Source organism: Homo sapiens, chromosome 3, assembly GCF_000001405.40.
Source record: "Homo sapiens chromosome 3, GRCh38.p14 Primary Assembly".
NCBI lineage: Eukaryota > Metazoa > Chordata > Mammalia > Primates > Hominidae > Homo > Homo sapiens.
This window is the reverse complement of record NC_000003.12, coordinates 31,346,912-31,373,080: the sequence shown is the minus strand read 5'-3', so window position 1 is coordinate 31,373,080 and position 26,169 is coordinate 31,346,912. Positions and strand designations below refer to the sequence as shown.

The window sequence follows — 26,169 nt, the reverse complement described above, 5'->3', positions numbered from 1 at the left end:
AGTGACCTGGCCCAGACCCAATTCCAAGGTTCTATAGTACTGACAGAACTGGCACTAAGCTCTTTTTTTCCCTGAAAGTCTGACATGTAGTTGAAGATATGCAGTGAGGTTCTGAGTTGGCTTGAGCTATCTTTTTCTGTTTCCTCTCTACTCTCAGGGGTATGGTCAGAGACAGGAATTTATATGGTGCTGTCTTTTGAGAGGCTTTTTGTTAATTACATGAGGTTAGATCTCAATACAGATTTTAGAGACCTAAGCCTTACAGTCCCACAGAGAAGGGTCATGGGTTTTACCAAACATCATAAACTTGAATTGGGAGCTTTTGTTAAATAGGGGTGGGACATTTTCTTGGGATGAAGAAAATAAATAATTACTGCCCATCAGAATAAAAGAAGACAATATAAAGGTCTGTCTTCATAACACTTTGTGTTTAATAATCAGGTTTGCTCAGGGAATTAGGAGGAACTGAATTTATTTAAATTATGTGTTGATCTTACTATTAAAATAGGAGCAAGTGGAAGAATGAAATAAAAATAAAGGAAGACATCTGATTAACGGGGAGAAGGGAGACGTTTCTTTAGGAAAATGATTAAAGTCTTAGCATATAGTCTAGACAAATATGAAAGAGAAGAAGTTCTTGGAGGCCAAATTCGACATATCTGAAACTGGACAGGAGAAGCACATCTATCTAGCTGCTCCTGTCTGATGAAGGGATTGCTATACAACTGCTCTAAGATCAGAAAAGATAATTGATCTCAGGGAGGAGATGAGTGTGATTCTCTAGAGGGTTCCTGAAATTAGGAAACTATTGAGGAATATCTCTATAAAACTGCAGATAGATATTCCCTAATAAGAACACATGGGTAAGCACCCCTTGAGGACTGAGACAGCTACGCACAATATTTGGACAAATGTGAATGAGGAAGCCTGAGAAGCCAGGATAAAATACTGAAGGCACTGAGTCGCAAATTGGAAAATTGTACAGTTATCATAGATGGGGAAGCAGGAATTGCCTGTGCCTGACGAAACCTGCCAGGAAAATTTATGGAATTATGATCCCCCCCAGGGGAACTCACAGGGCAAATAAGATGTACTACTAGAGAGCCAGGCAAGATAAAAATAAATTGAGGTCAGTCCTGAGTTGGATATTGATCTGATGAGATGATGCCTCCTGAGTGGTATTATACAACTCAAGCAGGTGAAGATAAACAAGCTTTGTTTGAAAATGGCATGCTTTGAAAACTGTTCATTCCTTGACTTGGCATCAGACACTCTGGAGAAACCCAAAAGAAAAAAAATCTAGAGGAATAAGTTAGAAAGACAAATGTCTGGGCCAGAAAAGCAATGTGAAAGCAAACAGAAGGAAAGCACCATTCCAGCAAGCAGTGTTCATACTATTCTCAATAGGGAATGATAAGGTCAATTAAGAAACAGGCCAGACTGCTGAAATCTCAGCTAAGATTCAGATGGGAAAAGAAGGACACAGAATAGTGGAGGCCTATCACCCCTGCTACGGTTGGAATGTTTATCCCCTCCGTAACTCATATTGAATCTTAATCCCCAATGTAGCAGTAAAGGCAGGGCCTTTAAGAAGTAATTGGGTCATGAGGGTTCTGCCTTCATGAATGGATTAATCCATTCATGGACTAATGAATTAATTGGTTAATAGATGAATGGGCTGTCATGGGAGTGGAACTGGTGGCTTTATAAGAAGAGGAAGGGAGACCTCAGTTAGCACACTCAGCCACCTTGTCATGGGATACCCTACACTGCCTTGGGACACTGCAGTAAGTCCCCACCAGCAAGAAGGCCCTCACCAGATTCAGCCCCTTGATGTTGAACTTTCCAGCTTCCAGAATCATAAGAATTTTTTCTTTATAAATTACTTAGTTTCAGGCATTATGTTGCAAGCAACAGAAAATGGACTAAGACAATGCAGAAAATACATGGAACTGAAGGAAATGTTAAAGGTCTGGAACTTTCAAAAGCAGAAGAAAAACAGGTTTTCCACGAGCATAAAACTGAGATATGGAAGCGATTTGTTTGTTTAGTGACTTTCCTGAACTAATTTGGTAAAGTCTACATTCTTTATTGTGTGTGGCTGCTGAAGTCTTTGCTCAATGAGCTTAGAGATTAGCTAATGATTGCATAGAGACTTCCTTCAATGCTTTGAACCAATAAATTTCCCAGCCTTTGCAGAGGAACTCTGTGTGCATATCAGGACATGCTTTCAATGCTCAAGCAGTAGCCTTTACTTCAGACTTCAGCAGAACTTCAAGATAAGCCAGAGATGAGAGTTTGGAGTGTTCTCAAGGTTTTTTTCTGGCTGTGTGTGCAGTCCTGGGCATGTGGACAGCCCTGAACTTATGAATGGGCTTCTAAATTTCCAGGATGTTGTCAGCGCTTTTCAAAGCTCCTTATGGACTTTGCTTTTCCTTTTAAGTTTCTTGGTCAGTTTGTTGATTGCCTATTATTGCCACCTCAGGCAGCTGTGATAGGAAACAATTGCTGCTGATTGTTTTTGCTAAATGTCCTCAAGGAAAAGGTTGTTCACACTAAGTGAGCTCCAGTCAGGTCATATAAAGACCTGCTAGTGAGAGTTTCCAAGAAACTGCCAGAGAGGTCAAATAATGACAATTCTCTGAATTGGTGATTTTGGAGAGTGCCTGTCTGCTTCCTCCAGTGGCTGCTAGGCTTCTAGTTTTTGCTGTGATTACAAACTGTTTATTTTCAAGCCTTCTGGGTAGCTAGGAGAGGGGAATGGGAATAGGGCAAGTTAAAATATCACATAGCTTGCTGTTCTTACTGAGTCAGCTCTTTTTCTTGAATAAACACTCCTTGGATTGTTATGAGCCTTTGGTTAATTTCCAGAGTTCTGAAAAAGTTGATTTTTACAATTTGCTAGTGTTCTCATTGCTTTTATGGAGAAACAGATTTTCAGAGGTCCTTATTCCACCATTCCCACTGACATTCCTCTTACAGAGTTGTTTTTCCAGTTCCTGAACCATGTGGCTAAATCATTAGCCATTGCTCAAGAATCGAGGTGGATCCATTTCTTTTACCATATTTCTGTCTGGCAAAGTGGATATCAAATGTGCTATTAAAGTTTTGCCCAGGAATGGATTCTTCAATATTTTTCACACTTCAGAGTGAGTCAGCAATATTTCCTTCTGGCTCAGGCTAGAATACTGTATAGACCATCTGTAAACCAGACCTAAGTTTTATCTTCCTTAGTCAAATAGTCACAGGAAACTTCCATGGGGCTGTTGGTATGGATTGAGCATAAACAACAATGCAGCAAGAGTGGTTACCATGGGAGTCTAAGCCCATGCAACTTACTTGTGGCTTCAAAATCTGGTTGAGCCTGATCTTGGATAAACCACGTGGATTGCTGCTGTGTACATCCAACTTTACAGTTGGTGGGTCAGATAATGATGAGAAGTTAATGTTGGGTAGGTCAGACACCAAGGTCACTTGATACCCCTTGGTTGGATGCTCAGTCTCTATTAGGGTATATTAGTGAGCCAAAAGCTATGTCTCAAAATCAGAATAATTATTGACTGAAGAAGGCAAGAAAGCATTTTAAATTCTGTGAGTGTGTCCTTGAATTCTCCTATTGGAGTTTACCAGAAGTCTCATTGTGTTTCTATTTGCTACGGCACCCTGAGTACCATTGTAACTGCTGGACCATGTGGCCCAAATGGCAAAACACTTTGTATTGCATCCTGTACTTATCATATAGCTTTCTCTTGCTCTGGGCCCCAATAAATAATGGCATCCTTATGTGTTATTTTATAAAGGTAACATGCTGTATTTTGCCTCTAAAATTTAAAAAGTCCCAACAATTATTGTGGCTCCTTAGTGGTGGGTTGCACGAAGTATAGAAATTTGTCTTTCACTTTAAAGGGACTATGCCACCATGTCCCAGACCCATGCATCCCTGAGAACATCACTTAAGAGATACCCGGCTCAGTGGGATTTATCTTTCATCCCCTGACATGCCTGTGTCTTACTTAGATTATTCCAGAGTAGAAAGTACTTTTTATTTTCCAATTTCAGGCAAGACATCATCAATATAGGGACCAACGTGGCACTCTAGAATGTCTGGATGATCAAGTTCCCTCAGGCTAGATAATGAGCAGGAGAGTTAATACAAACCCGAGAGTATGTACTGCTGTACAGACTGCACATCTGTACCAATGCATGATCTTTTCTTAACCATTTAAGAAATTTAAATCAATGAATTATTTTAAAAAGGTAACACAGGTGTATGATGCAAAATTTAAAATGTGCAAAAGCATTGGCAGATGAAAATGGGTTTCTCTGCTACTCTACCCCCTCATCACTCAGTTCCCCTTTCTAGGGGTAACCAGTATTTTTAATTTTTTGTCTATCTATCCATAAACAATGCCTTAAAGAAAAGAAAAATACATACACACAAATACATAGTTATATATGTGTATATAAACATAACTGTCTATATATACAAACAGACACATACACACATACATACATATCTTTGTAGTACAACACCTTGGAGGTCATTCCACACAAGTTCTCGTAGAGTTCTTTATAATGGTTGAAAAGTATCCACTCAGTGGATATGCTTTAATTTATTTAATCATTTCCCAGTTGAATTGGATAGTTTTCCATTTTTTTCACCATTAAGAGCAGTGACAAAATGGATATCTTTTATGTATATGTCTTTGTGCACATACATGCTTATATCCACAGGGTAAATTACTTTAAGTTCATCCATTTATTTTTAATTTAATTTGAATTCTTTTTGAATATGTTAAGTTCTATACACACAAATGATTATATCTACAGGGTAAATTCCTAAAAGTTCATTTATTTCATATTTAATTTCAACTCATAGTGTATATTTAAGCCTCCTTAAAACCTTTTTGTAACATTATGTGGTATAAATAAGCAAAATACAAAGAGTGGGATCGGTAAGTTCGTAATTTATCTGTGTGTGTGTGTATATGTGTGTGTGTGTATATATACACACACATATATATACACACACACACATATATATATGACACTACAGCTACTAGTTCTGTAATATTTGCTGAACTGTTTGCCTCTCTTTCCAATAAAGATACTTTATCACAAGGTTAATAAGAATTTCAACACAGTAAATGTTTATGTTAGACCAATAAAACACATTGCTGGGTATCTTTCATTAAGCTTTCTGGATCTATTCTCCATGTTTTCTACCTTCCTCTGTGTGAGGCTGAGAGGCTGACCCATATGGTCTATACCAGAGGTTGACAAACTTCGGTCTGCGGGTCAGATCTGATCCATGGTGTCAAATCCAGTTACATCCATTTAAGTATCATCTATGGCTGTTTTCATGCTACATCTGCAGATTTTAGTATTTGTGACAGAGACCATATGGCCTATAAGCTTAAACTATTTGTAATCTGGCCATTTACAGAAAAGGTTTGCCAGCCCCTGGTCTATATCATTGGCTCCCTTGCCCTCTAGGTTCTGGTTAGGTTTATCACTTTGGAGCATGGCAGGAGTTTGGAGGGAGAGAGAAAGGTGAGTTGGGGACTTTATTCCAGTTGCCTTCTTGTGTGGTTGTCACAGGATGGCTCCATTTCTGGATTGTAAATCTCAGCTTCTCTCAGAAGCCTCTTTCCAGTCAGCCCTCTCTGCCTTGGGGTTCTGGTAATCTCACCCCAACCTACCCCTTCAGGCCCAGGGATATGCCGTTTTGCTGTCACTGGTCTGGGGCCCTGCACTGTCCTCTGTGGTAGCCTTGCCCATGCCTAAACAAATAGCCCTTTATTAAGCTATTCTTAATTTCTCTTTTAAGAATACTGGGTGTTCTTTCTGGGACTCTGATACAGCAGGTTACAATTTTATGGATATATTGTCCCCTGAATTTTATGAAAAAAGGGAAAATACTGAAAATAATTTCACAAAAACGGTAACAGTGGTTATCTGTGCATAGTGAGATATCAATGACTTTTATTATATTCTTCTTGCTTTCTGTGGAATCTATATGAGGAAGAATTACTATGTTTGTTCTAAGGATAAAGCTAAATAAAGAACATAATAAAAGAAAAAAAATGACTGGACTCTTTGCCCTCTTTGCCCTCTATAGTTACCAGACTAGCTATGTCCTGAAACTCAGTAGTAGACGTTGCTTTTCCTGGAAAGCAGCATACAGAATGGAGAGGGCACTGCCTTTAGAATCAGCAGGCTTGCTCTGTCACTCCGGGTTTGGTCATGAAAACAAGCAGAAGACCCATATACACACATTCGTGTGTGTGTATGCTTGCGAATACACCTACACAGAGCTGGAAAGTTGTAGCAGCCTTTATTTCAGTTGTTGAACACTAACCTTGCATAATCTGATGCATGTGTGCCTGCTGCTGTGATGGTGCCCATGTTCGTTGAAACTTTCCCCATTGGCAGTGCTAACACCTGCCTGGGCTCCCAGGTTATAGCTTCCCAGTTCTTGCATGCTCAGTGATTAGTCTTCAAAGCATGACCCTCTGCCCTCTGGCTTGGTCCTGAGGAACTTGCAATGTTAGCTATATGCTATTCCAGATTCAGCCTCCTCTCAAGACTCTTTGACTGTTGTTTGAGCTTGGATCACTGGCTCAGAGTCTCAGACTCCCCAACTGTCCCTCCACTCCTGTCAGGTTGCCCTTTGGGGTACTGGTGGCAATTTATACTTGCAGATCTTGGTCAAAACCACTCTGACCTATCCTGACAGGCTTCTTTAACTTTAAATTCACAGGAGCAGTGGTTGGGATCTGTTTTTCTTTCTCTCCAGAAGATCAAGAGTTCATGCAAATTGGTTGGGGTGACCAGCTATGAATAAAAAGAGGCCTGCCTGGGCACGGTGGCTCATGCCTGTAATCCCAGCACTTTGGGAGGCCGAGGCAGGTGGATCACGAGGTCAGGAAATCGAGACCATCCTTACTAACACGGTGAAACCCCGTCTCTACTAAAAATATAAAAAATTAGCCGGGTGTGGTGGCGGGCGCCTGTAGTCCCAGCTACTTGGGAGGCTGAGGCAGGAGAATGGCGTGAACCCGGGAGGCGGAGCTTGCAGTGAGCCGAGATCCCGCCACTGCACTCCAGACTGGGGACAGGGCGAGACTCCGTCTCAAAAAAAAAAAAAAAAAACAAAAAAACAAAAACAAAAACAAAAAAGAGGCCTGCATTTGTTAGGCCAGAGAAAGTTCTACTGTGATCTTTTCCCAGGTCAATGATCTTCATTAAGCATTGAGCTAGAAAGAACTGAGCTGACAGGTGTTGAGGTGGTCCATTAAAACAACAAGCCAAAACCAAAGCACCTGTAAAGCCTTTAGCCACTTACTGCAAAACTGTAAACAGGACCTGAACATGAAAGGGCTCCAGAACCCACCCCCACACCTTGTTCCATTTTTGAGTAGTGTAGGTGGGAGGGTCAGGTGGGTTGGCACAGATGTGGGGATCATCTCACTGTCATGGGGAGCTGTGAACAAAAAGCTCCTTCAGTTTTGTGGATGTGAAGGCTAGGTGAAGAAGGAACGAAGGAAGGGCTATGAGTGGGAAAAATATGGAATATTGAGTCAAATGTCTTTGAGGCTCACCAGATAATGTGGTCTTAGCAGAGGTGCCTGAGAAAGGCATCAGTGGAGGTATCCTCTGATAAGGAGGCCTCAGAATGGAGATGCCTGGGCTAAGAATGTTGATTTTTTGCATGGCCAGGCCTCTGAGTTCTTGGCTATAAATCTCTCCCACTGTGCCCAAAGTCTGGAGAGGGCAGCTTTCCCCCATGAGGCCTATGAGATGAAAACTTTGTAATTGCCTATGGGCAATTTGGCTTAAAAAATCACACATAGGATTTTGACCTGGAGCCAACTCCTCAATATCTACTTGCCCTACGCTGAAAAAACTAAGAAAGAACATGCAAATGACTGCTGTCTGAGCAAAGCTCTGCTTCAAGGTGTCTTGACAATGTCTGCCTCTCTATACTCCAGAAACAGATCTAGAGACAAGAATTCAAGGACATGTAGGTTCTTTTAGAAGTGAAGGAAAACAGGGGAGGAGGGAAGTTGGAAATGGCAAGGCACCAGGCTAAGTGCTTTTTGTTTGTTATCTCTGTTTTATTCCCATTCACAGAAGTGGAACCTAAAGCCTGAGAAGGTGAAATGGCTCCCCCAAGGCCCATAGAAAGGAAGTGGTGAAATTTTCTCTGATGACAAAGACCATTCCATAACTATATACTCACTAATTTCTGACCCAAATACAAAATAAAAAAGAATATGCAAATGTCAAGTTAAAATAAGTGCAATAGAGGTTTGTTTTTTTTTTTCCTAATGTAATGCATTGGTTAAAAGTTGATTTTCATTTCATTTTTTAAACCATATGCATTTATCCTGGTTACAGTAACTCTGGAAAGTTCATAAGAGATGACTATGAGTCTCTTGAGTACGTAACCCCCTCCAGGAGAATGCATTTAGCTAAAAGCATGAAGAGCATGGAGAAAGAATGGTAAAAAGGACCATGTTGAGGTGAAAAAATGCTGATGATGGAGGACTAGAGGCAGAAGGAAATTAAAAGAAAGTAAGAGAGAGAAATGAGGGAGAAATTAGGGCACTAAGAATGTTTATGTATATCCCCACAAAAAGCAAAATGCCATGGATTTCTAGGGTATAATATAGTCTCAAAAAAGTGCTGAGTCATAGCCATCTCTAGGAATAAGGATTAGTTAGCATAGACAGAAAGCATGGATGCCCTTGAAAACCAAGTGAGGTGCCATCATGGAGATTGCAATACATGGTGTGCTTACTCTATGAGCTTTTGTTGCATGTGGATAAGAGCTTACATTTGGGCGAATGGGTGGGTTAGCTAAAATATCAACTAAGATTCATTTCAACTTTAATTCCAACAATGATTTCTTATAATTTAATATTTTCAGGAATTTGCTTAGTTTCTTTATTCACCACTTCCCTCTCCCAGTTATGTTTCAATTACTCCTTCCCATGACTCTCATTTTCAAATCCCCCTCTCCCCATGTAGTTTTTGGGGGTATGGGCTGCTTCTTCCATTTAAAAATATTTTCCATTGTTTCAAGTTCTGTATTATATGTCTATTTCTCTTTTAATATTTTCCTGTTGAGTGATTAAGGTATGACTGCTCAGAGTCAGCTATGTTTTTTAATTATTTGTGGAGCTTCCTGATTGCATAGAAGACACATTTCTGTGAAGGGTCAAGAGGAAGAATTTAATTTAGCAAATATTTATTGAGCACTGGCTATGTACAAGCTGAGACAGAGGCTTCAAGGAATCTCCAACCTAGTAAATGAGATAAAATGCAGCACTAGAAAATTATTACGCATAGGAAACTAGTAAAACCAAGATTCAAAACAAGCTGGAAAAGCAAAGAAAAAGCAGAACTTGAGTTTTCAAAATGATAAAGCATTGAAATAGTCATCCTCCAACATTATTCATGCTTATAACTTATGCTTAACTATTATTTTTATTTTTATAGTTTTGTCTTTTTACATTAGGGGAGCATCATAATCTTTTCAGAGATTTTAGGACATTTAAAAGTCCTTATCTGGCCATGATTATAGGACACAAGGGTACCTATAACAGTTCTCATCTTAATTTCAAAGCACCATATAGTTTGCACAGTTTCCACACATATCACTCATCTTAGTAGTATTCTGAGAGAAGCAATGCAGATGGCATCCCTATTTCACAAATAATGAAGCTGAGTCTTCGAAAGATTAGTTGGATTGCTCGTAGCTAGTATAGACTAAGATTTTTAAGATCAGACCTTAAGGAAAGGTCCAACTGTGGTCCAAGGGAAGGACCAACTGCTCCTGAGAGGCCCCATGGTGGTAGAGGGTATGTTGGAGGCAGACTTTAAGAAACAGCCAAGTCTTCCAAAGAAAAAGGGGTAAGAAGGGCTTGTCAGGGAGGGGTGATCACATTGGCAAAGAAAATTAGGTGGGAAGTTACAGGGCTTGTTAGAGAAAACAAAGAGCAGGAACTATCAAATGACTGTCGTCACGTCTTTTAAAATTACCCTCTAATTAGAGCCATCTTTGACCGGTTGACTTCCCTCTTGCCCTTGTTCACTAGTGTGGGTTAAGAAGGAGGAGGAGGAGGCAGAAGTGATTGGTGGAAAGCAAACTAGATTTATTTTGTCATGGAGTGAAGAGCTAGCCCCCAAAGCAGACTCTGTGGCTCTTCTCCATTCTATTTTCATTCTAGTATCCACCCCCCACTCCCTGGCCCTGTTAGTTCAGCATCTTCCCAGTGTTTTTATAATTTTCTCTGCTTCTGTACATCTCCATTAGTGACTCTAAAAGCATTAAGAGAAAATCATACCACACTTGAATAAAAGTGAAAGAAGCCCCTGAATCCACTGAAAGATTGTTTTTGTTTGATGGAAACTTATTAAATAAGGCAATAAGAACAGACCCTGAATCACATCAATTCCTTTGGCCTTTCCCAGTAAGTTAAAATCAGGTACAGCGATGATTCCTGTATATAGGTTTAGAGACAAACCAACTAAGGAAATATGCCAATAGCTTCTGCTCTTCCATCTGGTTGCTTAAAATTAAGTCATCTGCCTAGATTTATCCAATGAGGTACTCATGTAAACAATCTTTGATTCAATGGAAAGTCACTGAGAAACTACAGCATATCAGAAACATTCTTCTTTCAAGAACCATGCAGTCTAGTGTCCCATAAGGTCACAGCTGCCTCATAGATGCATTGGTGACAGCCCAAGTTACAGTCTGAGACTCCCAGGGATGAGAATTGAATGACATATGTTCTCTTAAGAGCTAGATTTTCCATCCACTTTCCATGTTGACTAGTATATAAGGCTGGACGTCTACCTTGGAGCCTATTGCCTCCCAACTCCCCATTTGTACTCACCATCTCCATCCAAGTCTGGGGCTTGTCCTGAACTCAGGCCACTTCCCTCAGTACCTGCCTTGCCCTCATGTGTAATTCAAGAGTCAGATTTTTCCCACATCCGCTCTGTGCTTTTGTGGATATTCTCATTGTGCCTTGTTCCTAAGTTGTGACAACCACTTGTCTGTCCATAAAACTTCAAACAGTCCTAACCAACTACAGCCCTCATTAAATCATAACCACTAAGTCAAAATTTGTAATGTAGTAAAATAATAGACTTAGTCTTCATTTTTTCAAAGTCAGCTGATAAACCAAAGGAATTCTTTTTTTATGTCCCTGAAAGGAATTGTTAAGGAATGTGATGCTCAGCGTAGTCAGGGGTCACTGTCTTCTCTGAATCAGAATTGATGAAGCCTTTTGTGGTTTGTCTTCTCTCCTTATCTCAAAAACCTCAAACTTTTGAATCACATGAGGGTGTCTGTCTAGAGGAGAATATAATTCCTTTCTTCTGTGTGACCTATAAGGATCAGACATTAATGAACAGAGCCTGATGCTGTTGAAAAGGATTCATGAAAAAGAAACCAATGATAGGGGCTGGGAGCACTTCCAAGGTTTTACTTCCTTAAAAAGCCTCACATATAGATTGCTCCAGTCAGCAAGGCTAAAAAATAATTCCCAAGAATGTTTAGGGAAGACTAGAATCTGACAGCGACTCTGGCTGTGAGATTTAACTCTTCCCTAAAGTCACAGGGTCAAGTAACTTAATCCTCTCTCGTGCAAAAGAAACTACTGGGTGGCCCGCTGAAGCCAAGATGAAACAAACAGGAAATTTACCAACTTAATTTTTTTGAAAGCCTTTTTATTAATATTTGCTTGCCAAGAGAATGAAAAGCAATGTTATTTCCTTACTCATCTATCTATAGCATGTAAGAATCAGCTGGACAAAAATGGATAGGGGAAGGAGCTAGAATTTTCCTGCTAGCATTAAAAGACTGTCTTCCTTTGTTGTTTCTGCATTTGCCTTTCATTCCTAAACAGTATGTTTTCCACACCACAGCCAGAGTGCTCCTTTAAAAATTTGAGTCTGATTGTATTACACCTTTTTCTCAAAACTCTCTGGGGGCATTTCATCTCTCTCAGAGTAAAATCTAACATCCTTATAATAACCTATAGATCCCTACCTGGCCTTGTCTCTGGTTTATCTGTTACCTGTTTCCATTTTTCACCTCTGAAAGTCTATTTCCTACTCATTAGACATACAGTGTCTTTTGAAAACATGTATTAGAACATGTCACTGCTCTGCTCAAAATCTTCTAATGGCCCTCTGAACTCCCCCAGAGCAAAAGTCAAATAGGATAAATACAAAATCTTTATAGGACAAACAAGAGCTTGTTGTTCTGCCCCTCTAAGAATTCTCTTTCCTCTGTGCCCTGCTTAATTTTTTTCCATAGCACTTATCACTAACTAATACACTGCATACTTACTTATTTATCTGACTTTTTGTCTACTCATAAAAACATACAAGCTGCAGCAGCTAAGAGATATTGTTTCTGATGCACTGTTGTGTCTCTAGTGCTAAGAAATATACCAGGGAACTAGTAGGTACTCAATAAATATTTCAATCAATAAATATATAAATACATGTGAATGATATGTAGTCAAGTTTACCTGGCTGGTAGGTAGTTCTTTATTGGGAAACAGAAATGGCAAGGTAATATTCTCTACTCATGCTATTTGTTTTCAGTTGACTCTTTTATTTTTAAACGCATAATGATGTGTTGTGAAATGACAATTTTGTCTTCTTCGTGCCACTAAGTCAATATCTTATTTATATTTTGCCCTTATTACATTGATTAGAACTCCCAAGAGAATGAGGTTCGTTCTAAGAGAGTGAATCCTGTTTGGGTTCTGATTTTAAAGGGGATGCCTCCAGTGCAGTTTCCCAACCTCAACGCTGTTGACATTTTGTCACAGATAATTCTCTGCTGTGGGGGCCATCCTGTGCATTTCAGGATGTTTAGGATAAATTGTTAGAGAATAAATAAGTATATATATATATTTAAAGTATATATATTTATATACTTTATATATATATATAAAGTATAAATATATATAATTATATATATAAAGTATATATACACTTATATATGTGTATATATACTTATATATAAGTATATATATACTTTTATACAATATATATATGTATATACTTATATATGTTTCAGTGTTAAATTTATTGTTTTCAGGCCAGATTTTCTCTGAGAACATAATATACTCTTACTCTTTGTTGGAGGAAAAAATAGTATAAACATATACTATATAGAGAGTATATATATAACTTATGGTAAATATATATAAACTTATATATATTATATAAAAGTATATATACTTATATATGTGTATATATACACTTTTATATAACATATATAATACATATATGCTTATATATGTATATGTATACCTTTATATATATATAGCTATCTTAGGATCAGCAGATATATAACATTATATAGGTTATGATCTTAATCATAACATACATGCACACGTATATGTGCACACACACACACAAGCACATGGTATGATCCCAAGTTGGTGAGAAGCAAATAGACCAAAATGCCAACGATGACTTTGCTAGGATTATATTCTTGTCTTCACTTCGCTTGACCTGGGGAGGTGAGGATTTGGGCCATCTATAGTGAAAACCATATGGCTTTCATGATGAATAAAACTCATGAAGGAGCGTGGCCCCATGGACTCTATGGCCTTTTACCAAGCCGAATCTGTTTAAACATCAATCCTTATCTGTTTGTGTAAACCTTCTTGACCTTGGAATGGGAAGAAGCAATTAGGAATTATTGGCCTTGTTGTTATATTGGTACCTTCCTCAAAACCAACTTGTTGGAGTTGAGGCATCTTAAAAACAACAGGATAAAATCATCCTCTCTGGGAAATACATATACACATATGTCCACATTTTTTTTCCTAACAACTTTTGCAATAACAAGATGAAGTAAAAAGTTAATTACAAATATATGCCACAAGGTCTACATTTGGGCATATATGATGTTTTTCTAAGAGATTTGTAATAGTAGCACTAGTATTCAGCTAGTGAATGCTTTTTCTTGATATTTATTTACAGAAAAGGTACTTCAGATTGGACAGATGTTAACAATGCAGTATCTTTTTTCCACGATAACTTTGTTTTGTAATAAGAGCCTTTTGCTATGATGTCTTTTTGACTTTTATCATGTGGGGTATAGCAAGATGCTGTTGGTTTTATTTCCTCCCCATTTATCTGTTATCTCAGTCATGCTACATAGTCACACCCATTTGGAGTTAGGCATATACCAGATAAGATAAGAGAAAGGGGCCTTTCACAGTGTAACTCAAGGATGAAAAGAGAGAAAGTTTCTCATAGCATAATAATGCACAAACATTGATTGTCTTAAAGAATAGTTTCCAAACCACTGTTTGTGTACACCAAAACCACTGGACAACTTGTGAAATCAGATTGCTATGCTTTATGTCCAGACTTTCTGAGTATTCAGTAGGTCTGAGTTGGTGGTCAAGATTTTGCATTTCTCATTTCTCAGGTGATGCTGATGCTCCTGCCCTTGAGCAGGATGATTCAAGACCAGTGGTTCTGAATGAAATAAAATCTTTTCTTTTTTTTTTTGAGACAGAGCCTCACTCTGCTGCCCAGGCTGGAGTGCAGTGGCGTGATCTCAGCTCACTGCAACCTCTGCCCCCACTGGGCTCAAGCGATTCTCCTGCCTCAGCCTCCCAAGTAGCTGGGACTACAGGTGTGTGCCACCATGCCCAGCTAATTTTTGTATTTTTAGTAGAGTGGGTGTTTTGCCATGTTGGCCAGGCTGGTCTCAAACTCCTAATCTCAAGTGATCCACTCTCCTCTGCCTCCCAAAGTGCTGGGATTACAGGCATGAGCCACCACGTCTGGCCTGAAGTAAAATCTTAATTACAAATATATGCCATAAGGTGCACATTTGCGCATATATGGCTTTTTTCTAAGACATTTGTAATAGTTCTCATTTTGAGAACCACTGATCTTGAATCAATGAATCAATCACTGATGGCTGCTATCCTTCATCCACTGCCCTCCCCTTTAGATCACTTGAGTGGATCAAAAATTTTCTCTGAGTCCTCAGGTGATAGAAATGAATGACTGACAACATAAGCTGAAGACAGAGAAAAAGAGGAGGTGGGATACAGGTGAGATGGTGATGGAGAAAAGGGTTTAAGAGACAGGGATCTATGGGAAGAACAAAGAGTGAGTTTATGGGGCTAGATTTCTTCTTCAGCCCCAAAGAGGTACGAGTACATGAGCTACACGAGAGTACAGAAAATTGGATGCCAAGCTCATTCTGCCTGTGTCTCTGGATGAGCTGAATACAAAGCACTTGGAATTGACTATTACAGATTGACTCAATTTAGGCCACAACAGGTGTTTTGAACTTGAAGGAAAATACTGGCATATTTCTCTGAATACTGTGGGTGTCACTGTTCTCAGTAGTAGAATTCATTATGACCCATGCTGATGTTGTTTATGGTAAAAGAGCTTCAGGTGAGCCTTGTTTCCTAGAAGGAAGGGAACATTATAGCCAAGTTTATAATGAGTATAGGGTTAGTGTAACAGAACTTTCAAAATCAAATGATGTCACTCCCTGTTTAAAATCTTCCCTTACAGTGGTTCTCAACCTTAGCTGCCCGTAAAAATTCTCTCCTGGGGAGTAAAAAAAAAATTCCTAATGCTCTAGCCATATGCCATATCATTTCAGAATTTCTATGCTTGAGACACAAGCATATTTTTCAAAAGTTCCAGGTGATTCCAGTGCAGCCAAGGAAGACAGCCACTGCTCCAGTGGTTTCTTATTGTACTAGAAGAAAATCCAAATTATATTCCAGGGGTTACCAGCCTTCATCACCCTCTTGTGTCTTCATCACCATTTTATGCTTTCTCCCCACTTGCTCATTATACTCCCTGTAAAGGAGATGGCAGCACTTTAGCCTGGAGTAGGCCGAGGCGGCCTTCCAGCACAGCATGACTCAGCAGGTTTGGAGCACAGGCTTACAACCCCACACATTACATAACCATGCCCCGTGAGGCGCATTAGGTGATCACTCACGTGAGCTTGTGCTTGGCTTGGACGGAGCCACTATTGTCTGTAAAAGGTATAACTACCCGAGTAATGCTGTACCTATGTCTCACCCAGGCTCGTGGCTGGGCTCACGCCCAGAGAGAGAATAAAGCCATGTCAAAACTGCCTGTGATTTCTTGAGTGTTTTTCTAGTTACCCTTTACCTGCCCACCGACTCCTCTTGGACCTCAGTTTGGCCTAGAACCTGACACTCCCCCAGCACTGAACTCCTTTTAAAAATGTGTAATTGTTGTAATTATTTTGGGTACACAGTGATTGTATATATTTTTGGGGTATGTGTGATGTTGCTCCAGGCATACAATGTGTCATGATTAATCAGGATAATTAGGGTATTATTACCCATTTATCATTTATATGTGTTAAGAACATTCTAATTCCACTTTTTTAGTAAATTTAAAATATACAATATATTATTAACTATAGTCACCCTGTTGTGTTACTGAATACAAGATCTTGTTAATTTTATCTAACTATATTTTTGTACCTATTAACCATCCCCACTTTATCCTCCACTTTCTGCTGCCCTTCCCAGCATCTGGTAACCATCATTCTATTTTCTGTGTCTATGAATTCAATATTTTTGGTTTTGGTTCCTACATATGAATGAAAAAAATGTAAAAAGCAGGCATATTTGTCTTTCTGTGTCAGGCTTATTTCCCTTAACATTATGATTTCTAGTTTCATCCATGTTGCAAATGACAGGATTTCATTCTTTTTTATGGCTGAATAGTATTCCATTGCATATATGTGCCACATTTTCTTTATTCATTTGTCCATTGATGGACACTTAGGTTGATTCCATATCTTGGCAATTTTGAATAATGCTGCAATAAACATGGGAAGATATCTCTTTGAAATACTGATTTTCTTTCTTTCAGATAAATACCCAGGAGTGGGATTGCTGGACTGTACGATAGTTGTATTTTTAGATTTTTGAGGAATCTTCATACTGTTCTCTGTAGTGGCGGTACTAATTTACATTCCCGCCAACAGCGTACAGGGGTTCCTCTTTTTTCACATCCTTGCCAGCATTGGTCATTGGCTGACTTGGATAAAAGCCATTTTAAGTGGAATGACACCTTATCTCACAGTAGTTTTGATTTTCATTTCCCTGATGATTAGTAATGTTGAGAATTTTTTATATACCTGTTGGCCATTTGTTTATTTTGAGAAACGTCTATTCAGATCTTTTGCCCATTTTAATTGGATTATTATTATGATTTTTATTTTCCCCTATTGAGTTGTTTAAGCTCCCTATATATTCTGGTTATTAGTCCTTGTCAGATGGGTAGTTTGCAAATATTTTATCCCATTCTGTGGATTGTCCCTTCACTTTGTTGATTATTCTCTTTGTTGTGCAGAAGCTTTTTAGCTTGATGTGATCTCATTTGTCCATTTTAGCTCTTGTTGCCTGTGCTTTTGAAGTCTTATTCAAGACCTCTTGACCCAGACTAATATACTAGAGTGTTTCTCCAATGTTTTCTTCTAGTAGTCTCACAGTTTCAGGTCTTAGATTTAAGTCTTTAATCCATTTTGATTTGATTTTTATATATGGCAAGAGACATACTTTCATTTTTCTGCATAGGAATATCCAGTCTTCCCAGCACAATTTATTGAAAGGATTGTCCTTTCCCCAGTGTATGCTCTTGGCTCCTTTGTTGAAAACAAGTTGACTGTAGATGTATAGATTTATTTCTGGGCTCTCGATTCTGTTCCATTTGTCTTTATCTCTGTTTTTATGCCAGTAGCTTGCTGTTTTGGTGACTATATCTCTGTAATATAATTTGAAGTCAGCTAATGTGATTCCTCCAGTTTTGCTTTTTTTTTTTTTTTTTTTTTTTGCTCAGGATGGCTTTGGTTTTTCTGGATCTTTTGTGATTCTATGTAAATTTTAGGATTTTTTTTCTATTTGAAGAATGTCATTGGTGTTTTGATAGGGATTTTGCGTTGAATCTGTATCTTGCTTTGGATAGTATGGACATTTTAATAATATTGATTATTTAAATTCATGAACATAGAATATTGTTTCATTTTTTGTGGCCTCTTCTTTTAATTGTTTAAGCTTTCCCCTATCTCAGGGACTTTCTACATGCTATTCTTACTGCCAGAAAGGCTGTTCTTATAGCTCTTGAGCTAGTTAGCTCTTTAGGTCTTGGCTTAATATAATCTCTATCCCTGAATATGTATATAAAATAATTTTCCCTTTATTACTATCTCCTCTAGCACCTTTTTGTTATTGTTGTTTTTCCTAACAATATGTATCATGATTTTTAATTATATATCTATTTACTTATTTATTTATTAAATACTTGTGTCTTCTACTGTATGTAAGCTGCATGAGGCCATGTTTGTTGAGCTCAGTACTGTAGTATCAGGGCTTAGCACAGTGCCTGAACATGGAGTATGTTTATAGCTGTTTTAATGCCTTTGTAACTTCATCATATCTTTTACTTCCTGGCAGAAAAAAACCAGGCAGATTTTTTCCTGGTTATGAATCACATTTTCCTACTTCTTCATATGTCTTATAATTTTTTTATTGAATGACAAACATTGTACATTTTATTTTGTTGAATACTGGACTTTTTGTACTCTTTAAAGAATGTCAGATGTTATTCTGGCAAGTGGTTAAGTTTCTTGCAGATTAGTTTGAACCTTTGGAGTATTCTTTCAAATCTCCTTTAGGGTGATTCTGAGTTTACTCTAGGTAGAATTTTGTCAACTTCAACAGTATTTACAGTTTGACCAGGTAATTCTTTGTTTTGAGGGTCTGTGTGTCCATTGTAGATTGTTTAACAGCATCTCTGGCTTCTGCACATTAGCTGCTAGTAGTAACTCTCCAGCTGTGACAGCCAAAAATATGGGCAAACATTGTCAAACCTCCATCCAGTTGAGAACCACTGCTCTAGGGTTCAATTAACCTCATTACTAAGGCATGATAGTCCTCTGGGTTTCCTACTGAATCCTTGTATATTCAGTGAGGTCTCTTCACAATGAATTGTAGGAACCCTAATGAGTCCTGGTATTGTGTGAATCTAAGGGTTACTCATCTTCTTGCTCCTCAGTTAGTGCTCTTTCCTCAAAAGTTTCTCTGTATGGCCTCATGAGGTTTTACACTATGTAAGCCTGAGGTAGTACCCAGTCAAACTCAAAATAATACTCTATTTTTTTCTGGAATGCCTTCTCTGTGTAGCTTTCTCTTTGGGTGCTCTTCACTGAAAATTCTAGTATTTTTTTTTTACCTCCTCAAATTCTGATATCTGCCTTATCAACTCAGCAAGACTACCAGGCTCTGCTTCAGTTCTCTACCCTTGTACTGCAATTTGGAAATTGCCTCTGGGCAGAAAGATAGACTATTCCTCATTTGTTTCCCTTCTCCCAGAGATTACAGTTCTGAACTGACTTTCGTCTAATATCTGAAAATACTTGTGTCCTATATTCTTTTCCAGTTTTCTAGTTGTTTATTGCAGGAAGGTAATTCTGAATTTTGTCACTTCCTCATCCTGACTGGCATATACAAGTTTTAAATGAGTGACTGAATGAATGAGTAAAAGAATGATCCAAGGAGAAGTACATTATGATGGATGAGAGGGATTGAAAATATCTGCACCTTGGGGTGTGACTAAGGCCAGCAGATGCAGGCAGGGAATCCTAGGCAAGAACTGAATGCCTGTGGTGAGATGTCTTTAAGCAAAAGCGTCTATTCCTCTTAGAGGAAGTGGGAGCCCATGATAGGCTTGACTATGGCTTTGAGTGGTGGAAGAAGCTTCTGGATTGGACTGACCTTAAGGGGTCTGCACTCTGGTCTTAGCTTTGCCACAGACCAACTCTTTGTGTACAAATTAGCTCCCCTTTGTAGGCCCCAGTTTCCACAAATGGCTTGCTTCAGAATAAGGGAACCAACACAAATGTCTGTGGGCACCAGGTGGCCTAAATCAGTAAAGGTGTGTATGTGCAGACTACAGTGAGCCAGGGAATACATGCTTCCCTAAAGCGGTGGCTGTTGGGGGAACTTTGGGATCTTGAGTTGTCACATATCATAATTTTCAAGAGAAGACCAAAATTTAGATTTTTGTACTAAGTTTTCTGATTTTAAATGATTGACAACTAATACAACTTGGGGCTAAGCTCATCACATCTTTGGGCAAAATTTAGTCTCAAGGCTACCAGGTGTAGCCAGTTATTCTTTTCCACAATGTCCACCTCTTTTATTAAAAGTACTCAGTGTATGATGATATTTCTTTTAGACCTTTTTTGTTTGTTTTTAATATGTGTCTCCTTCTCTTGACTATGAGGTCTATGGGAATGGAACCATGCTTCTTTCATTAACTTCTATATCTCTGATGCTTGGTGTGTACTACACCCTTGAAATGCAATTCTAATGCTAAATACCTGAAATTAGCACAGACTTCCCAGTTAAGGGCATCTCTAACAAGACTGCTTTCACTTCAACATCAGCCACAATTTGGGGGTTCCCTGGCCACCATGTTTCTCAACAACTGGTTACAAATTTGGGGATTCCTACTACTTCCTCATGTTTGATAATTTGCTAGAATGACTAACAGAATTCAGGAAAGTGCTACACTTACAATTATAGTTTTACTATAAAGGATACAAATCAGGACCATCTAAAAGAAGAGACCATAGGGCAAGATCTGGAAGAATCCCAGACATGGAGTTTGCATGTCATCTCCCTGTCAAATCCAAATGTGTTACCATCACAACCTGTTGACGTGTTTAGCAACCAGGAACACTTACCTAAGCGTTGGTGTCTAGAGTTTCCATTGGAGTTTCATTACACAAGCATGACTGAATCATTGGCTATGGGGTTGAACTCAATCCTAGACCTTGTCTCCTCCGTGGAGGTTGGGCTGATATCATGTGGGTCAAAGCTCCAAGTTGCCAATCACATGGTTGGTCTTTCTGGTATAGTCAGTCCCTTTCCTGAAACTATCTAGGGGCCTACCACATGTCACCTTGTTACACAAACTCAGGGGCAGTTCCAAGAGCCCACCACAAATAACAAATACACTCCATCACTCAAGGAATTGCAAGGGTTTAGAAGCTCCCTCCCAGATACCCAGGACAAAGACCAGACAAACTATTATACAATAGCCCTCAATAAATATTGAATAATTATGAATATAAATATTGAGTGAATAAACAAATGGGATACAGTGGAACTCCTGCGATTTTTTTTCTTGCTCTGACATGATGATGCACTGGATGATAATAATAACAACTACAACAATAATAGCTAACCTTTATGTTCTAATGCCTTGGTAGCCATTAGGACTGTTAAAATATGTGGTAGTTTTTCTACCCTTTCTGGGACATGATAGGATTCTATTTCTCTACCTCTCTCTGAAAGTAGGCATAGCTATTTGACTTGCTTTGATCAACAAAATGTTAGTAAGTGAAACTGGTAGAGGACACTTCTGGGTGGGATCTTTGAAAACCGTCTGACTTTTGCCATATTCTTTTCTCATCATCTAAGCATGTATTGAGAAGCTAATGATCCAATTGGGACATATAGGATAAAAAGGAAATAGACTTTTGCTGGGTGAAATCATTGAGATTTGGGGGTTTATTACTACAGCATAACAGAATACATTTTAGCTAGCATAAATGCTGTACATCCATTATTAAATTATTGTAATAATTTAATGCTTCCTAGAATCTGTGAGATATTCAGTATTAGCAGTCTCATTGTTATAGGTGAGAAAACTGAAGCATAAAGGAATTATGTGACCTGTCCAAATTCACATCATTGGTAAGAGGCAGGGCTAAGCCAAGGACTCAAGTCCAAGGAGTTGTCTCCAAATCTAAGTGCTAAAGAGTACAAATCAACAAGGGTGAGGCAATGGGAGAAAGGTACCTAAAATTTGGTGGTGACAGTGGGTGGTACCTGAGGAGCAGCACTGTGTGGGATGATTTTTTACACTCTGCTGCTGTGTTTGGTTTAAGCTGCTTTGTCCTTTCAGTTACAGGCTTAGAGGAGGAGAGAGTCTAGAAGTGTCTCTGGATGTGCTTTTGACATTTTGTATTTCACGCCCATGAAATAGTGGAGATTCTTAATTGTTGGTTGCTTTTTCAGAACAAATACGGAAGTTATATTCAAAAGGATTTCTTCATGCCACATGGAAAGTCTTTGATGCTGCCTTGGCATTTGAGGAAATAAACATCCAAGCGAATAAATAGCTGTTGCATGTGATTGGGCGGAATTTAAATGGCAGCAAGGAAGGACCGAGGTTAGGGACAAAGGAATAGCTATTTGGGTTTCTCCTGGCCCTTGTAATCCTTTGAATACTTAATTGGGTTTTCTTTCAAACATCTTTCATTGTCTTCTGCAGTTTAAATGGAAAGGAAACTCATCCTATATATTCATGAATTACAAACAGTCATGCTTTGGTTTCAGTAAGGGGGCCTGGAGAAGGACTGAGGAGGTTATCTCGGGAGGCTGTGAGAGACAGAAAATGTAAACAGGTTGTCCCAGCAGCTTGCCTGTCTCTCAGGCCTCAGGGACATCCCTTCTCTGGGCCCTCCCGACTCTAAGGTCTGTACCACTCATCCTACACCAAACATGTACTGGCTGCTTGTGCTTGCTGGTTTCTCAGTCCTATATCTCTCTCCAAGACTACTCTGCAGGCTCAGAAGGACATGATCTATATTTGACACTTTGACACAATCTCTGATGCACAGCCATGTACATAGAAAATAGTAGTTATTTATTAATTGTGATTGACCAGGAAATGAGGATCTATTGGGAAGAAGGTTTGGAAATACTTTATGCAGCTCTGTGATCTATTCTGAGAGATTTTTCTGTAGGAAAGGATTGTTAGCTGTCAATACTCCAAAAGAAAAGCCTGTTGATTTAGCAAAGCTAAGTTTATTAGACTTTCTACAATTAAGGAGAACACTACCTTGACAGTGTTAGTAATAGCTCAGAAGGGGATAGTCAGGGAGGATATTTAGTGGGTTTAGGACCTGGGCTGGAGAATTTTAAGGTGAGTCTTTCGAGGCAGAAAACTATTGGAATCAGGCAGAGTTTATGACATAATATTTTATGTAATATAGAAGTGAGGGTTTTGGGGTGTGTATATTGGTGAGGCAGCTATTGGTGTCCGAAAGTAAACTGTTTCATTATTTTATGGTCTTATCTTCTAAGTGCAAGTATTTCCTGGATCAGGTAGTTAATTTATTTATTTTTGTCCGATTTCAGTACTGTTTAGCCCTGAGGTTTTGCTTGTATATAAATACTCCTCAATTAAGTTGATAAGAAAATAGAAGGAATGTTTTGTCCCATAATTGTTTAGCACAAGGACAGAGAGGTTTGTTGGTTTCAGTTCTCAGGATAGACAAAGAACCTGGCAGGTCTTTTGGAGACTATATTTATGACTCCAGCCATTAGCAAATATCTTTTCTCGAAACCTCCTCACACTTAGGATCTGTATTATTCTGTACTAATTATGAAAGTCTGACATGAATTATTCTGAATTATTTAAATCTGCTGGGGTTAAACTAACATGAATTATTCTGAATTATTTAAATCTGCTGGGGTTAAACTAAGGTGATAATAGAATCCTCTGACAGAGAAGACTTAGTTTTTCTGCTTTTTAAAGTCACTAAAGTTTTCACAACCTAAATGAATCAAGTATCTTTCAATGGGTGAAGTGGTCTGATAATTTTGTTTCAGGTCAATCAGAAATAATTTATTTTTTTGAGACCAAGTCTCTCTCTGTCACCCAGGAGGCTGGAGTGCAGTGGCAGCTGGCTAATTTAAAAATTTTTTTTGTTGTTGAGATGGCCTGTGTTGCCCAGGCTGGTCAGTAGTCTTTAGCCTCAAGCAGTCCTCCCATCTTAGCCTCCTAAAGTGTTGAGATTACAGGCATGAGCCACTGTGCCCAGCCCAATCAGAAATAATTTGATGTTTGCATTTGCTGTAGTCCTCTTAAAAAGGAGTTGACCCTGCAATGGTCTATAAATATTTTTACCAAAATGGGGATGCATTCCCAAAAAAATTAGTAAATGTTATTGCTCTCTACTCTTGAGTAAAACATTCTCTGCTTCCTACATGCAGAGAAGCAAAGTCCCCTTTTTAGAGAGTACAGTCAGTGAGTGTAATGAATTATTTTGCTTAGTTGAAGCATTGGCTATTGCATTCTAGCCCAAAGATGACATGGAAGACAGAGTTAAAAAAAAGTTGTTTGTTAAATGTTAATAATTGCATGCACCAGTGATTTGTGAAATACAGGCAAAGTAGAACTAAACAATAAGGAAACATACCTGTGCCCTTAGAAAAATAAATTGTACACTCAGCATCTGGAACGTAAATGACATGTTTTCCTCCTTAGATGCAAATAACAGTTAATGGTGACAAGGGCGTAGCAATCTTAATGTGATTTCCCCTCTGGAAATATGTCTTGAAAATAATGAAGCTATTTTCAGTTCAAAAGATGAGTTTAAAAAGATTAAGTTAAAGGGCTATCAAAAACAAAGCAAAAAAGAACAGAACAAAACAAAACAACTTCAGAGATAATTAGTTTATTTATTTGTTTTTGAAAAAGCAGCCCCTTGTTCCCTATTAGTTCTCAAGTTTTCTTAGGAATGTCATTGTCTCTGCATAATAAATAAAATAATAACCATCACTATGATGTCATTTGTTGAGTAACTACAATGTGATAGCCATAGTGCTAGATGCTTCATTGTATTACCTCAATCAACCCTCCCAACAATTCAATGAGATAGGTATTCTCTCATTTTATAGATGGTAAATTTGAAGCTCAGAGAGATAATATTATCTGCATCTCACATTCTTGCTCTTAAAGACTCGTGAGTCATTGAATGTTAGATGCAGAATGAAACTTAGAAATCATCAATTTCAGCCCCTGGCTTGTTAGATAAGAAAACTGAGACAGAGAAAGGAAGTGATTTGAAGTAGAAGCTTACTGTGGGTTGCACATTGTGGAGGACATTGCAGTTGGCTCTTCACATCCATTCCAAGCCAACACTGGTAATTCCTTCACCTTTGCCCATTATTAATACAGGAATGGACAGTTGATTATGGCCAGTAAGTGTGAGGGGATTGTGTGTTAGAGGTCTTCCTGGAGCAATTCCATAATTTCACTGATCCTTAACAAGTTACAAGGAAAGAAGACAGCCATCTTCCTGTTAATCCAAAGAGGATGCCAACCTGAAGAATGACAGAGTGGAGAGAGAAAAAGCATCTGCATTCTTGATGACATCGCTGGACCTCTAATTTAATTAACTTTGAAGCTCATCAGACCTCTGGACTGTATAGTTATATTAAAGGTCAATAAGACTACATAGTTATGATTAGCTATAATACAAAGTTACATGGTTATAATAAGTATATAGTTATATATAGTTATAACAAATTTCCTCATTATGTAATTCAGTTTAAATTGGGGTTTCCGCTTGCTGTGAAAAGGATAAAAAATTTATTTAAGTTGAATTTATCTGTCTCCTCTCTCTCTCTATGTGTGTGTGTATATACATGCACATTTAATGTAATGAACTCAATGAGGAGAAAAGCAAATTATATGCAAGTATGTAACAAAAATATAAAACTGAGAACATGATATATAGATAAAGAATAAAATATATGTAAACTCAGAGAGCAATGAGTAGAGTAGATACAGTTGAAAATACATGCTATCTAGATTGGGGGAGACGGTTTATTGAAGACGAATTTTGAACAGAATCATGAAAATGGGAATGGATCAGTATCAATAGAGTTTTAAAATAAAAAGCTAAGCTTCTAGGGCCATGATATTTTATTTTCATTTCCTGACAGAGAAACACACCCGGGTTGTGGCATAATAATTTTTATAACTTGACTAGACTAAATGAATAACATAAGTATGGATACTTGTGTATCTGCAATCAAGACATTTTTGAGATACTTAGCCTTGGCCCACTCATTTATATTTGGAAGTTTGAGAAATGTAGAGAAAATATATTCATTTGCTTTTTCCTCCTTCCCAAAATATGGTCACTTCACAACAAAATAAAGCCTTTGTTTGAGTTTTGTCTGAAAAATTGAACTTATTTCTCAAATATTTGCCACCCTTTCACCTTCTTCC

General features: G+C 38.3%; 1 annotated feature.

The window, feature by feature from the left end:
• Positions 15,170 to 16,369: an enhancer, noted in NCBI's record as "MED14-independent group 3 enhancer chr3:31398204-31399403 (GRCh37/hg19 assembly coordinates)". NCBI's record gives its function as "activates an origin of replication core promoter dependent on BRD2, BRD4, P300/CBP and CDK7 cofactors, and independent of MED14, by STARR-seq in HCT116 cells {active_cell/tissue: HCT116}" and the evidence as "EXISTENCE:reporter gene assay evidence [ECO:0000049][PMID:35650434]".